Here is a 14,192-nt window from a genome sequence, read left to right on the forward strand (position 1 = left end):
CACTTTTACAAATAACACAGATTTCCACCCTCAAAAGATTCTAGACTGTTTCCTAGAGAACGGGAGTGGGAAGTAGCAAAGAGTAGTTTGAATATGTCTCACGAATAATTCTGATATGTATATCCCAACTCTCCAAGCTCTGCCAACACACACACACAAACACACACACACAAACTTATACACTCCACTGGAATCTTGATGAACCAATTATCTATTTCATTCTTGGTAGTAGTGAGCTAGTAGAGATTACGCTATGTTAAGCCTATAATTTTATTATTTATTCTTTCCCCATTAGGAAACATTATTGTCAGGGATGTTCTATAGTATACTTACGTTAAGTATTACCATACTTCATTCTTTTTTCTCTTGTAACTTCTTACACAGAAAAGAAATCTGGAATGGATTATGTGTCAGTTATTACATCAGGCCCAAGAGAACGTGTTGCTTTCACATGGGATGTGGCAAACTTCCCAGGGCCCCTAAATGGACTACTTAGGGAATCCCAAGCCCCAAAAAATGGTCCCTGGAAGATACCTGGTCTGTTGATTCACATCCTGGACTCATTTAATCATTGGTGTTTGTTCATTGGCTTAGCCAAGATGAGAGATGAGGTAATGATATCTGAATTTATCAGACAATTTTCCTTTCAATGTCATATAAATTTGTGGAGGATCCAAGTAAGACTCTATGTATTTATATGAGGATGCTCTCCTCACTGGACATGAATGTGGCCACCATTAATACTATATTCTTAAATAAAATAAAGACATCCTTCTTAGGTTGTTTGAGGCAGTAATTTCCAACTTCATTGCTTTATTTTGTTCGAAATAAACATTCTTCTCTATTTGCCAGCACTCATTATTCCTGAAAACAAAAATGCAAAATAAAAACAAAAGTGGTCTAGGACATATCAGGGGGAGACAGCCAGAATCCCTGACATCTATTGTTTGCTTCTTGATTGGTAATCATGGTGTTTGCTTGTAAACTAAATGGCTAAGAGGACTGAAAAGAATCTCGAAATAGGTTTACAAGTGTTACCAGATTCAATAGTATATTTCTGAAGGTCAAGGCAAGCCAAAGGAGAAGAATTTTCTTGTTATCAGATGCCCAAATGGTATCACCAACATCCAAATCACCACCAGCAATACTGGTAGTAGGGTAACATTTTGGAATTCTTAGTAAAGTCTCATTAATCAGACTTTTCTAATAGGAAATTTGTGACTATCCAGACAGAAATTGAGTTAAATTTTACTTTTGTACTCTGAACGAGAATTGAAAATGTAAGCATAAAATATTAACCAATTTGAAATGAATGTAAACTGTTTAATCACTTTATAATAGTATTGACAAACACATAGAGATAGAGAGCAGAATAGAAGAACAGTGTTAGACAGAGAGTAGAATGGAACTTACTGGGTCAAAATGAGATGATGAAAAGTTCAGGAGATGGATAGTGGTGATGCTTGCCAAACAATGTGAATGTACTTAATGTTACTGAACTGTCTACTAAAAAATGGTTAAAATGATAAAAGAGAAAAAATAGTACTGAATGCAAACAATTATTTCAAATCTTAGTTCAACTCCTATGTTCTTCCAAGTAGAACATATATGCTCTTAAAAATATTCTCTCATTTTGAAACATTGGACAATTCAATTCTACCTACCACAAACATTTATTTCCAGTAATCTGGAAATGTTAGTATACATAGTGCTGTGCCAGCCTGACTCAGTCGTTAGACTACTGGAAATAAATCCTCACTTCACTAGATTCTAGCTGTGAGAGTTAGACAAGTTTCTTAGTTTTCTCTTCTATGAAATGATGCTGGTGATGGTAATTACCTTACAGGATCTTTATAAGATTTAAATGAATTCATATATGTAAAGCACTTTGAATAGTTCCTGGCATACAGCAAACGTTCAATAAATGTCAGCTAATGTATATTGTAATGGTATAACAAAAATGTGAAGTTTTGTTAGTATGGAAAACATGTATACATGGATAAAGTAGGGATAGCTATTTTTTAGATAATATACAAGTTGTGATGAAAGCAAATAAAATATGCTGAATAATTTGCGAAAACATTTTAATAAAACTATTCCAGTTGTTTAAGTTTAAAGGTTTATAGACAACTTATCTTTCTATTGTACAATGATTCTTCAACTGAAGAATAATGCTTATATATGTATGTCCTCTAAGCAGTAGACGATGCAGGATAACAGCCTTTGCCACATTTCATTTGCAGACTATTAATGGGCAACAACTTTAATTGTTATTTATTTATGTTTAAAATTTAATGAAGATATGAATAATTTAAAATTTTTGTCATATTACAAAAGTGGAATATTAAACTTGCAATGTATCTAGCCATCTCATTTTCTAGAAGTATATCAAATGGAATTTATCACAGGAAAGATTTATTTAAAATGTGAATAAGCATGAATAATGAATAATAGGAGTAGCCATTACCTATTAAAACTGCAATTACACAAAGAAGGAAATACTATACCAGAGTCATTATTTTCCTGTTCATAAATCTTATTGAAGGGACCACCCTTCTATGAACTGACACTAACTGTTTACTGCCTATTCCAAAATTTTCTCAAACTGTTGACAAACCAATCACAAGGGTGCACAGCAGGGGATGGGACCATTTCTTCTACTAATCTTTTAGACCATTTCTCCTACGTATCTTGGCAGAAAACCTGTAACAGTTTGAACAGAATTGTGCACAATATGTGCAGCTCAGCCAAAACTCATTAAGTGCCTTTGTCTCATGCATCTTGTGAAACACAATATTGCACCCCTGATGAGCAATGCCTCCAAATGTTATGTTAACATTAAGATCACCAGAAACCATTAATTTACTAGTCAAATTACATCTCTCAGCAGCATTCAGACAATGTTCTGGGGAATGATCTGCCTATCACCAAGTATAAATAAAATTTTAATGAGTGTTTTCCAGTACTTCAAACACAGGTTAAGAAAGTGCTCTAGAATATATTTCATGACTCATGTGTTACAGGATAAGACTTTAATTTAAAGCTAACATATTCCGTACATTTTTTCCAGGTACAAACAGTATTTCCACCGCTCTCTGGCTTTATTAAAAGGTGGCTTTCTTTCAGAGAATTAAGGGACGTCTTCAATTTTTAGCTCTATCTTCTTTTCATTGATGTCTATTTCCAGGTCCACATTTTACTTTGCCTCTGTTGCTGCATTGCATTCCACATCTGTATTTTCCCATGTCATAGGCTACTCCTAGAATGCCTTTTCTTACCTCAAATAAAGCCAACTACCAGTTATTTCCCTCTCTTTCTAACTGCTCTCAAAAATACACTCCATCAATGAATTATCTCTGACTAGCTAGAAGGCAGGGTGACCTCTTCCAATTCCCTTTGTTAGATATTCTCAAACGGTCCTTGGTAACAGAAAGTGCAGTTATCACTATACCTTTCCACATATAAACATATTCATTATTTAAACTTACATTTTAAAATTAGGCTTGCTGTTTCTGTCCCAGATTATAAACCAAAAGCTATAAGGCTCTTTGCCTGACTTGGCATAGACTCTACAGCATCATCATATACCAAGAGGCATTTAATAAGTCGCATGCACATTGTTATCTACAAAATGTGGTAAACATAATAGCCAAGATGGTTAAATACTAATAAGTTATATTCCTCAACATTAGTCATTTCTTCAACTAAATTTTCTAGCATCCTTATTGTCTATCTTTACCTGGGACATAACCTTGATTGATAAGTGAGCAATACTTTATCTTCCAATGACAAAATCAAATAAACTACATGACAACCTGAGCAATAAGGCAAAAATTGATCTTTAACGTTAATAAAAAAAACCCCAAAATCATCAAAAAATAGATCAATTTAGCCATTGACTGTGGACAAGGCCATCACATATAGGTCAAAATTCAACTGCGTTTGATCTAACAATCAAGAGGTCATTGTTTTCCCTTTGCCATTTGCTAAATTCTAGCTTCAGTCTGTCTCCTTTACTTCATTTTTTAAAGCATCTTAAGGCAATGATAATATCACATTTATTGATTTTGAAAATAATTCCAATTTAGAAAATAGTTATAAATGACAAAATTTTATTGGTTTTGTTTTTAATAGATAATGGGCTAAGATATAAAAACATATTTTACAAATGTAAAATCCTCTTATTTTGAGTAACAACACAAAACGAAATACTGCTTCCTAATTTGCTGATAAATATATTAAAGGAGAAGGCAAATAAAATGATTTGTACAAGCAGCTGAGCTCATCATTCAATAAAATCCATAAGAATGATAGGTCATGTCCTATAATGGTTATTTCTAGAGACCTGAACGTGGCAATAATATAAGATCAGCCTTATTCAGAATTCGTGGCTGATGATTCAGACCAGAAACAAATGAAAGCTTAGAACAACTTCTCAAAAGTTAGTGCTCAGTTTTGTAGCAAATACATTTTACTATTTTTTAAAAATATTTTTAAGCCTCAATAAAGAAGGATTAAAAATATGAAAGTTCACAAGAATGTTTGCTCAAAAAAATAACAAGTTAGAAAAAAACAATCAAATGAAGACTTTGGAGCAAAGACATTAATGGCATGAAGCCTGTGATTAAATATGATGACTGAGGGATGATTCTGAAGCCTAATCACCTAGCACCAAATTGTACCTGTCCTGCCTTCTAGCTGGGCAATTAGGAAAACTTCCTTAAGCTCTCTTGCCTTCTTTCTCTCATTGGCAAATAGGGATAATAACAGTACCTACCTCAAACACTTACGTGTTAATACAGACACAGCTCCTATAACAGTGCCAGGTACATAGGATGTGCTACATTTGATTTTTTATTATTATTTCTGATAAGCTTTCATCATATCTTTAGTGCATTTTCTAATGGCATCTGTTTGTTTTCTTTCATTTGAGGTTCTTTTGGCTTAAGCCAAAAGATAAACAACTGCTTTTCTTTTTTCTTTTGTTTTCCTTTTTTTCTTTTTTTTTACTTTTTTTTGAGACAGAGTCTCTCTCTGTCGCCCAGGCTGGAGTGCAGTGGCGCGATCTCGGCTCACTGCAACCTCCGCCTCCTGGGTTCAAGCGATTCTTCTGCCTCAGCCTCCCAAGTAGCTGGGATTATAGGCCTGTGCCGCCGCGCCCGGCCTGCTGCTTGTTTTTCTATGTTCCTGATGGGATGAGACCTATTTCAGTGAAGCGTTCTTTTTAAAGTAGCAATTGAAAGTCCCCAACATGATGAGTCCACCGGGGTGAATAGTCTTCAACTGAAAGCCAGAGATAAAAAAAGAAATTTCTAAATATTAAAAATGCCATGATGATAACTTTGAAACTTAATTGCAAAAGATGGCGATAGCAATGTCTAAAATGGCAATTGTCTGAAATGAGTGCCAATTAAAGGTCACAGGAACCTACAAAAAGGCTATGAGTGCTCCATTACACATTGCTAATTTGAGTAAATAGGGAAAGCGGCATTTATATGCAAATTGTGCGAAGAGAACATATTGCAAATATATTTCTACAGCTATGTTACCCATTTTCCTACTGCGTGTCTAATGAACAAGGGAGTTCCAGTCTTTATTAATAGCCTGTAGAATTAGCATTTGCTTTACAAAGAAATTGTCAATAAAAGAAAGGGGAGTTCCCAGAAGTTACCCACTCTACGAATCAGCACACTTACTACTAACACATGGATTTCAAAATTGACCAACACAGAATCAGAAACCTGTACCACAGTGTTTTAAACACTTCAGGCATGGAATGTAAAATGAGCACTAGCCGTGTCCTAAGAACAAATGTATTTTGAGCAAGAAAACATTTCAAAACTATCTTTGTTGTGTCCTAATGCTTCAAGCACTTTGGCCAAACAGTCCTACCATGTAAGTATCCCCCCCACTGGGATGCAATGGTTGAGGAAATTTCAAAATAGCTGTATCCTTTTAAGGAAACTATTCCTGTTGTTCGCTAAGGCAAAAGCTTGCGTGTAGATTTGTCTTCAAAGATCTTTGTCAACAGGTGTTAATAAGTTTGTTAATATCACAATTGGCTACTCTTTATGTACATTAAACACTAAGTATTAGAGAATAGAGTGATGATATGTAGAACTTGCTATATAGAATTATTAATTTTCCATTTTTTCTGAGAAGCCTGCTGCCATTAAGGAACATCAGTTGGCAAAAAAAAAAAAAAAAAAAATCACTATCCCCTACAGCACCACTTCTGCGGTAGCTTTCTAGAAACACCAAACGCTACAAGCTTCTTAGGGATGAAAACAGTTTTTTATGCAAACATAGATGAGGGCTTCACTTGGTGCCTTTTCAATTAACAGTTCTCAACAAAACCATTTCTGTACTGATTATTTCTGACTCTCTTCTATTTTGAAATGATTTCTCTGACCAAAATTTATGTTGAAAAAACTCACAAAGATAAAGAAAATGTTACCTGTTTCCATAACACAATTTTTAATAGCATTTTCCTCTAAGATAGGCCAATTGTTTTTTTCTTATAGAATGTATTTCTCATGAAAAACTATTTTAGACATGAGAAGGTATTATTTTTCAAATGAATCATGACAGAATTTTTGTGAAGATGCTACATTACCCATACGAGGAACACTGTTTCACATTTTCCAGGTATTTTGGAATCCTACCTTGAGGAGAAATTCAACAGAAGACACTGTGGTCAGGACCTCTCTAGCTAAATGAAAAATTGACATAATTTTCTTCTACAGACAGCCTTAAAAAAATATTTATTCAATTCTCCAGATAATTTAGATAAAAATGATGTTTGGAGTTTGATTTGACTAAAAATATCACCTTTCCTTCAGCTATTTGACTATATGGACATGACCTCAGATGAACACAGCAGAAATGTGGAGTTTAGGTCAATGAAAAGAAATTAATTTATAAAATCTAGTGTTTCCAATTCTAGTGATGGCTTAGGAAACTTCACTTTCTCTGTTGATAAGAAAAATAATTATTAGTGATAGATTAATAAAATAACTTTAAAACCATGTATTTGACAGTTTAAGTAAAGTTTATGCTGTATAAGTTCAAATTTTACTGCCTTTTTAATAATGTGTAAATCATGTTGACACTTGTAAGAAAAATGTCCATATTATTTTAAGTCCAAATTTTACTGCTTTATCATTTCTATTACGTATTTTGGAAATGGAAATCTTTTGACCTTAAAATAATCAAGTAATAAAATAAAGTAGTAAAAGAAATTGAAAAGCCGTGCATCTGACTCTTTATTTCAAACCATTAAGATGGAAGTAAGAAAAAAATTGATGACTTCTATTCATAACCAATTGAAAAAGGAAGGAAATCTCTCTTTAGCCTGAAAGTGTATATCTAGATGAGAATGACCAAAAATGGATAAGCTCTGGTTGGTCAATATAATGAGTAGTTACTGATGTACTGATATTTTTAATAGCTTAGCCTAGATGGTATTACTTTTGTAAGTTATATGTAAGAAATTATTTGGCTATTCACTAAACTTATTTTCCAAAAAGTGCTTTCTATTTCAGAAGCACTATGTTACAAATACTGTATCATAAAGAAAAATAAGAAAGGATAATGTCCTCTACCTTTGAAATCTCAGTAACATTTTAATGTTAACAATGGTCTGCTTCTTTTTATATCAATGCTAACATAATACTGAACAGTCTTGCTTGAAAAAAATTCAAAAAGAAGATAATGAAATATCCCAGAAATTTGTCACATTGTAGAAAGAAAGCCGCAATAAAAAATGTGAGATCCCTTTACACAACATATTTCTTAGCATTTGATCAGAAAGCTTTGTTATTGGCACTCACGTAATATTTCAATATAATTACCATGTTGTCTGCTAATCATTACTCACTAACTAAAATTACTAAACACAAAAACTATGCTTATTCCTATGAAAATATTCAGTTAAGGAGTTTCAAAGCATAAAATCTTTATTTTTAATATTACCTATTACATATTAAATCAAATGAATTAGAATACTAATCCTGAGAAGTAACTGCTTACAATATAAAAATAGTATATCTAAATCTATTACTGACCTACGATTATTCTTCAGTCCAGTTCCCTGTACAAATCCAATCTGTGTCCAAGCTTATTTAAAGATGTCAATCTCATCAGAATTTAAATATGACACAGCATTATAAAACATATCTGGTTACTCAAGATTTCTACTAGCAAACATGGCTTTAAGCAGACCCCAAAGGCAAACCCTGCCAGAGGGGGGATTCTGTATGCCTATCCTTTTCCAAATTCATCTCACTAGAGTGACCGAGCCACCAAAGACAGGCCACATCCCTGAAATATTGCTTAGCCCTTGTGTTGAACTATCGGGCATTTTGATACCTTTTCAGAGTTGCAGTCCACATTTCCCCAGTATTGGTTTCCATTTTCACGACTATTACAGGCTATTCTTTGAAAATTGTGTTTATAAGGGAAAATATAAAGTTCTCATCCATTGAACAGACCAAACTCCTAAGCTCAATATATTTTTATCTTCTATGTATTTATGGTCCATGGCTGCCCTTCAGTTAAAGAATAAAAAACTCAAGTGAGATAAAGCATCAAAATATATATTATAGTTCCATTTAGGTTTTAGCTTAGAAGGCCAAGGACATTGCCACTTAGGGAGAATCTCTGCCTCTCAACAAATCAAAGTGTATTTGCTTTGATTAGTTTCTTAACTGAAATGAAAAGGTAATTTGGATCATTTGTTGAACATACCAAACCCACTGGTAAATTCAGCCAATCAGCTATAAGGAGTAAAACAGGCAGTTAATATAATTTGTATTAATCATAACCACTGCAATTATGTAAATGTAGCTTGAAATGTTATGTGTTAATTTAGTATGCTACTGTTGCTTCTAGAGAACCTACGAATTTCTAAACTCAAAGGCACCTCCAGAATTCCTGAAAGGTGTTGACACTGTCATCAGTTATGTTCCCAGATGACTTGGGTATTACGGGCTAAAAGCTACATTTTGTCACATCTCACAAATATATCTGTGGTTTGACTCCAACCTAGTACTCTGGTTAAGCACAATTAAATAAACAAGCATAATTTATCCCTTATATTACATTAAGAGTTAGTGAACAGAGGTTATTCATTTACATCTAGGGGCCGGAGAAAAAAGAAGCACTCAATTGTCTTTTAGAATGTTTAGCCCTGAAATCTATTTTTGTACATGAGTCTTAGATGCCTTCTGGATAAGGGCTCAGATCATTACACCAAAATGCATTAGTCTATGGCAAAAAAAAAAAAAAGAGTTTGATTATGTGAATGAAACTAAACAAAAATCCTGGGTCCAGAGGAATGCCTTAAAACTAGGATAAGAAAATTGTGTTCTCACATACTATAAAAATACAACTTCAGGGACATCTATCTCTGGTTTTGGTTTTGTAATTTTAAGTTTTAGTCAAAAATTATTGCTCAGTCATGTCTTTTTTCTCTTCCTATTCCAGAGATATATCTCATGTGATGTAACAAGACGAAGGCTGTTAAGGCAGCTGCTCAAAATAAAAAGTCTCTAAAAAGCAATAGCTTCAGCTGTATCAAGTCTTCCCTGTGGAGCCATATTCAGGCACATGAGCCAAACACATATCATGCGTCTTCTTCCTCTTGTACAAACTGAAAAACCAAAACACTAGGGGAAAGAGAAGACAGTAAAATCAACATTAGGCTTGTCAAGGCAACTTAATTATTTCGCCACAAATTATTGAATTTTATGTCATGGACTCACCCAAAATTATGTATTCTTATAAAGTAAGCATCTTTGATAATAGATATTGCTATTTAACTTATGCCTTATCTTCAATTTAGAAACTGCAGTGTTTTAATGTCCCACATTTTAGATAATAAATGGAGTCCCCCATGTATAGCAGCATGATTTATAGTCCTTTGGGTATATACCCAGTAATGGGATGGCTGGGTCAAATGGTATTTCTAGTTCTAGATCCCTGAGGAATCGCCACACTGACTTCCACAATGGTTGAACTAGTTTACAGTCCCACCAACAGTGTAAAAGTGTTACTATTTCTCCACATCCTCTCCAGCACCTGTTGTTTCCTGACTTTTTAATGATTGCCATTCTAACTGGTGTGAGATGATATCTCATAGTGGTTTTGATTTGCATTTCTCTGATGGCCAGTGATGATGAGCATTTTTTCATGTATTTTTTGGCTGCATATACCCAAAGGATTATAAATCATGCTGCTATAAAGACACATGCACACGTATGTTTATTGCGGCATTATTCACAATAGCAAAGACTTGGAACCAACCCAAGTGTCCAACAATGATAGACTGGATTAAGAAAATGTGGCACATATACACCATGGAATACTATGCAGCCATAAAAAATGATGAGTTCATGTCCTTTGTAGGGACATGGATGAAATTGGAAACCATCATTCTCAGTAACCTATCGCAAGAACAAAAAACCAAACACCGCATATTCTCACTCATAGGTGGGAATTGAACAATGAGATCACATGGACACAGGAAGGGGAATATCACACTCTGGGAACTGTGGTGGGGTGGGGGGAGGGGGGAGGGATAGCATTGGGAGATATACCTAATGCTAGATGACGAGTTAGTGGGTGCAGCGCACCAGCATGGCACATGTATACATATGTAACTAACCTGCACAATGTGCACATGTACCCTAAAACTTAAAGTATAATTAAAAAAAAAATAAAAATAAAAGAAAAATAAACAAGAAAAAAAAAAAAGCATCAGAAATAAAACTTGCCTGCTTTTCCAATCAGAGGCAACTCAACTGTGTAGTCATCTAGGAAACCACCAGGGACTTCACAGATGAAGTTTCAGATGATACAGCCAATTTCAGTTTCACCTAACAGAAGCAAGAATAAAATTTAACTTTCCCAGCGTTTGATTAAATGAGTATTTTGATTCATTCTATTAGAATTCTACATAACTGGTAATATAAGTGTGCCACCCAAGCAATAGCGTTATGAAATCAAGAAATGACTTTTGCTGGGAGCTTAACTCTAGAACCATCTTTGTTTCAAATGTATGACATTAGAGAAAAATGATTAGCCTCAGACCAAATAAATTGTATATTTAGTCATATTCACCACGGCTATGAATTTCAGTTCAGAATTCTGTCATTTTATTTCACTCACCAAATTCCTTAAGACTGAATATATGCCATAGTATCATATGCATAAATGATGGTAAATGGCTTAGAAAAAAACAGAAAGTGGAAACACTCATATTCTTTCACCCAATGATGTACAGTTCCTGAGAAAATGTCTGAAGAAACTAATAAACAACAGCATCAAAATAAACATATGTATAAACATGCTCCATACATTACTAATAATTTTAAGAGAAAAATAATTCTACATGTTTGCTAAATTATGTTATATTCATTATGTGCCATATTACATAACTGTTAAAACTATGGAAAGGTGTATATTGTTATATGAAATAAGGAAAAGACAATATTTGAAGTTGCTGTTTTAGTTTGCTCACTTCTCAGTGCTATCTGTTCTCTCTCATTCCTCTTGTGAATTGCTAATACTCTGATCACCAATAATCTCTTAATTGTTCAATTCTGTGCCACTGTCAAGTTGTTATTTTGGGTGACTTCAACAAAAGACAAAATAAACTCCACCATTTCTGCCACCACCCTCCCTTCCCTCATTTCCTACCACTCCTCTCCCTCTCCCCCACCCACCCCAAAATCACATATACTTTGCTCCTTTATTTGTGTTCTTGAGTCAGAAATTTGGAGATGTTCTCCTACCCTCTAAAATTATCTCCTAAATATCTGTTTAAATCCTGAGTTCGTCTCTATCTCCTGCACCAGGTTGTCTTAGTTCAGGCCCTCATAATCTCTTCCTTAAACTACTGCAACTGCCACCCTCCTCATCTGCTTCCAGTTCCTCCCCAGCCTAATTCATCCTCCACCTTCCTACCATGTGCTTTTCAAAAATCTATTTCTGATCATGTCACTTTCTCTTTAAAATCATTGACTCCTTCAAAGTAAGAGATGCTCAAATAGTTTGTATAGCATGCGAGAACTTTCTCGCACCCCTCCTTTTCTCAATCGCCTCATTTCTCATTGTTATGTACCATACCCCGTACTCTTTCTCACATGGAACTACTCGCATCTTCCCTAGATTCCACGACCTATCAGAAGCCCTGTCTGGTCTGTTTTTCACCTCATTTGCCCCATGGACTCTCCTGTGTTCCCCTTTATAAATTTGAAAGCACTCTTTACATTATTCTAAGTTAATGGTTTATGTATGGATCTTTTTCACTGCCTATAACCTGTGGTCAGGCATATTTATTTTGTAATACCAACTATATTATAGCACCTGGTACTGAGTAGAAACTTAATATTTCTTGAATGAATGAACAAGCAAATAAATAAAGGACCTGCAACTATGCAAAATATGCATAGATTAAAAGTAAATGTGGGAAAGTAAAAACAGCTAAGTTCTAATAAGTAAATAAAAACTTTTTTCTGTTTTTAGTTAATTTTTGAGCAAACTACTATTCAAAATAAAATATCTTAAAAATCTATAGTAAATGCCTACTTTACTTTCATTGATCAGTAAATGCTGATTAGCAATACTCTCACTGCTTATATCACCAGTAACTTTTGTATAGACTAGAGCAAAATTAGATTTTTTAAAACAATTTTTAGGCCAAGTAGATTTCCTGTGTAAAGAATGATTGGCCCAAAGTCACGATATATTCAAATCATTTAAGATATTATAATTTGGTCGTTTTCTTCTTATTTAAAATGAACAGGCAATTTCCAAAAGGTTAGTTTAAGGTTTCTATCCTAAGTAGCAACCTTTGCAAGCTCATATATGCAGTTCTGTCTGTATGCAGAATGTGAAATTGCAAATGGGAATGAAATGCTCATCAATCAAACATCAAATACCAACAGAATCCAGGAAACACTTTGCATTTCCAATTATTCTATATCACTTTACATATCCCAAGATCACTGGCACATAAAACACCCTGTGAGAGAGAATAAAATATTGCGCTTTCTTAGATTTTATATATATTTTATATATATCTGTATATATATCTCTATATATAGTTAAAGATATATAAAGAGAAGAATAGAAGGAATGTGTTATCAGAGATACTCTCTTTTTATTTTTTATTTTTGAGATGGAGTCTCACTCTGTTGCCCAGGCTGGAGTGCAATGGTATGATCTCGCCTCACTGCAACCTCAACCTCCCAGATTCAAGCAACTCTCCTGCCTCAACCTCCTGAGTAGCTGGGATTATAGGTGCCTGCCACCACACCCAGCTAATTTTTGTATTTTTAGTAGAGACAGGGTTTCACCATGTTGGCCAAGCTGGTCTCGAACTCCTGGCCTCAAGTGATCCACCCAAAGTGCTGGGATTACAGGAGTGAGCCACTGCACCCAGCCAGAGATATTATCTCTTTAATCTGCCATGATTTGTCATGTATCTCAACTGATACTACTTTCCACAGAAATATACTTTGCCTTTGATTTTATCATTAGCTAAAGTTACAGTGGAAAAAGCAAAAACAATAAATCTTGTATTATTATCGATCTATAAAATAATACAAGAGCAGGAGCCTAAATATTTTTTAGTCCTTACTTAAATCATATGATAGCAGTATTTTCCCACTATGCTGGCTGACATCCTCCCCTCATGGCCTAAGAAGCTTAGAACTAAATTAAAAACTGTAGAGATTATCTAGTCCAGTACTTCCCACCTTTTGCATGCCCTGTTACATTGAAAATAGTAATATTTAAGCAGAATACTATGGGAGAGGAGTGATTACATGTGAACTACTATAGGTCACTGCTCTTAAAATCTTAGGCCAGGCACGATGACTCAGACCTGTAATCCCAGCACTTTGGGAGGCCAAGGCAGATGGGTCATCTGAGGCCAGGAGTTCGAGCCCAGCCTGGCCAACATGGTGGAACCCCATCTCTACTAAAAATACAAAAATTAGCTGGGCGTGATGGCAGATGCCTGTAATCCCAGCCACTGAGGAAGGCTGAGGCACGAGAATCGCTTGAACCCAGGAGGCGGAGGTTGTAGTGAGCCAAGAAAATCTTAGGCATCAGAATTTCAGAGAGTTTATAAAAGATGCCATATAAACTCTTTAATGGAATTTCAACTATTGTAAATTCTTAAG

At 34.6% G+C, this 14,192-nt stretch overlaps 1 long non-coding RNA gene across 1 annotated transcript in view, besides 1 other annotated feature; it reads right to left on the reverse strand.

The window, feature by feature from the left end:
• Nucleotides 1-2,090: 2,090 nt before the first annotated feature.
• The window catches only part of ASMER1 (adipocyte associated metabolic related lncRNA 1), a 101,831-nt gene continuing 89,729 nt past the window's right edge, over nt 2,091-14,192 (reverse strand). The window contains exons 3-4 of the long non-coding RNA NR_146322.1: nt 10,776-10,877; nt 2,091-9,668 (exon numbers count right to left, since the gene is read on the reverse strand). This is a non-coding gene — a long non-coding RNA (adipocyte associated metabolic related lncRNA 1). The remainder of the gene's footprint in view (nt 9,669-10,775; nt 10,878-14,192) is intronic.
• Nucleotides 10,751-10,900: an enhancer, noted in NCBI's record as "active region_18283". NCBI's record gives its function as "activates an Ori minimal core promoter by ATAC-STARR-seq in GM12878 lymphoblastoid cells {active_cell/tissue: GM12878}" and the evidence as "EXISTENCE:reporter gene assay evidence [ECO:0000049][PMID:35858748]".

The sequence above is a fragment of the Homo sapiens genome, chromosome 21 (genome assembly GCF_000001405.40).
Source record: "Homo sapiens chromosome 21, GRCh38.p14 Primary Assembly".
Taxonomy (NCBI): domain Eukaryota; kingdom Metazoa; phylum Chordata; class Mammalia; order Primates; family Hominidae; genus Homo; species Homo sapiens.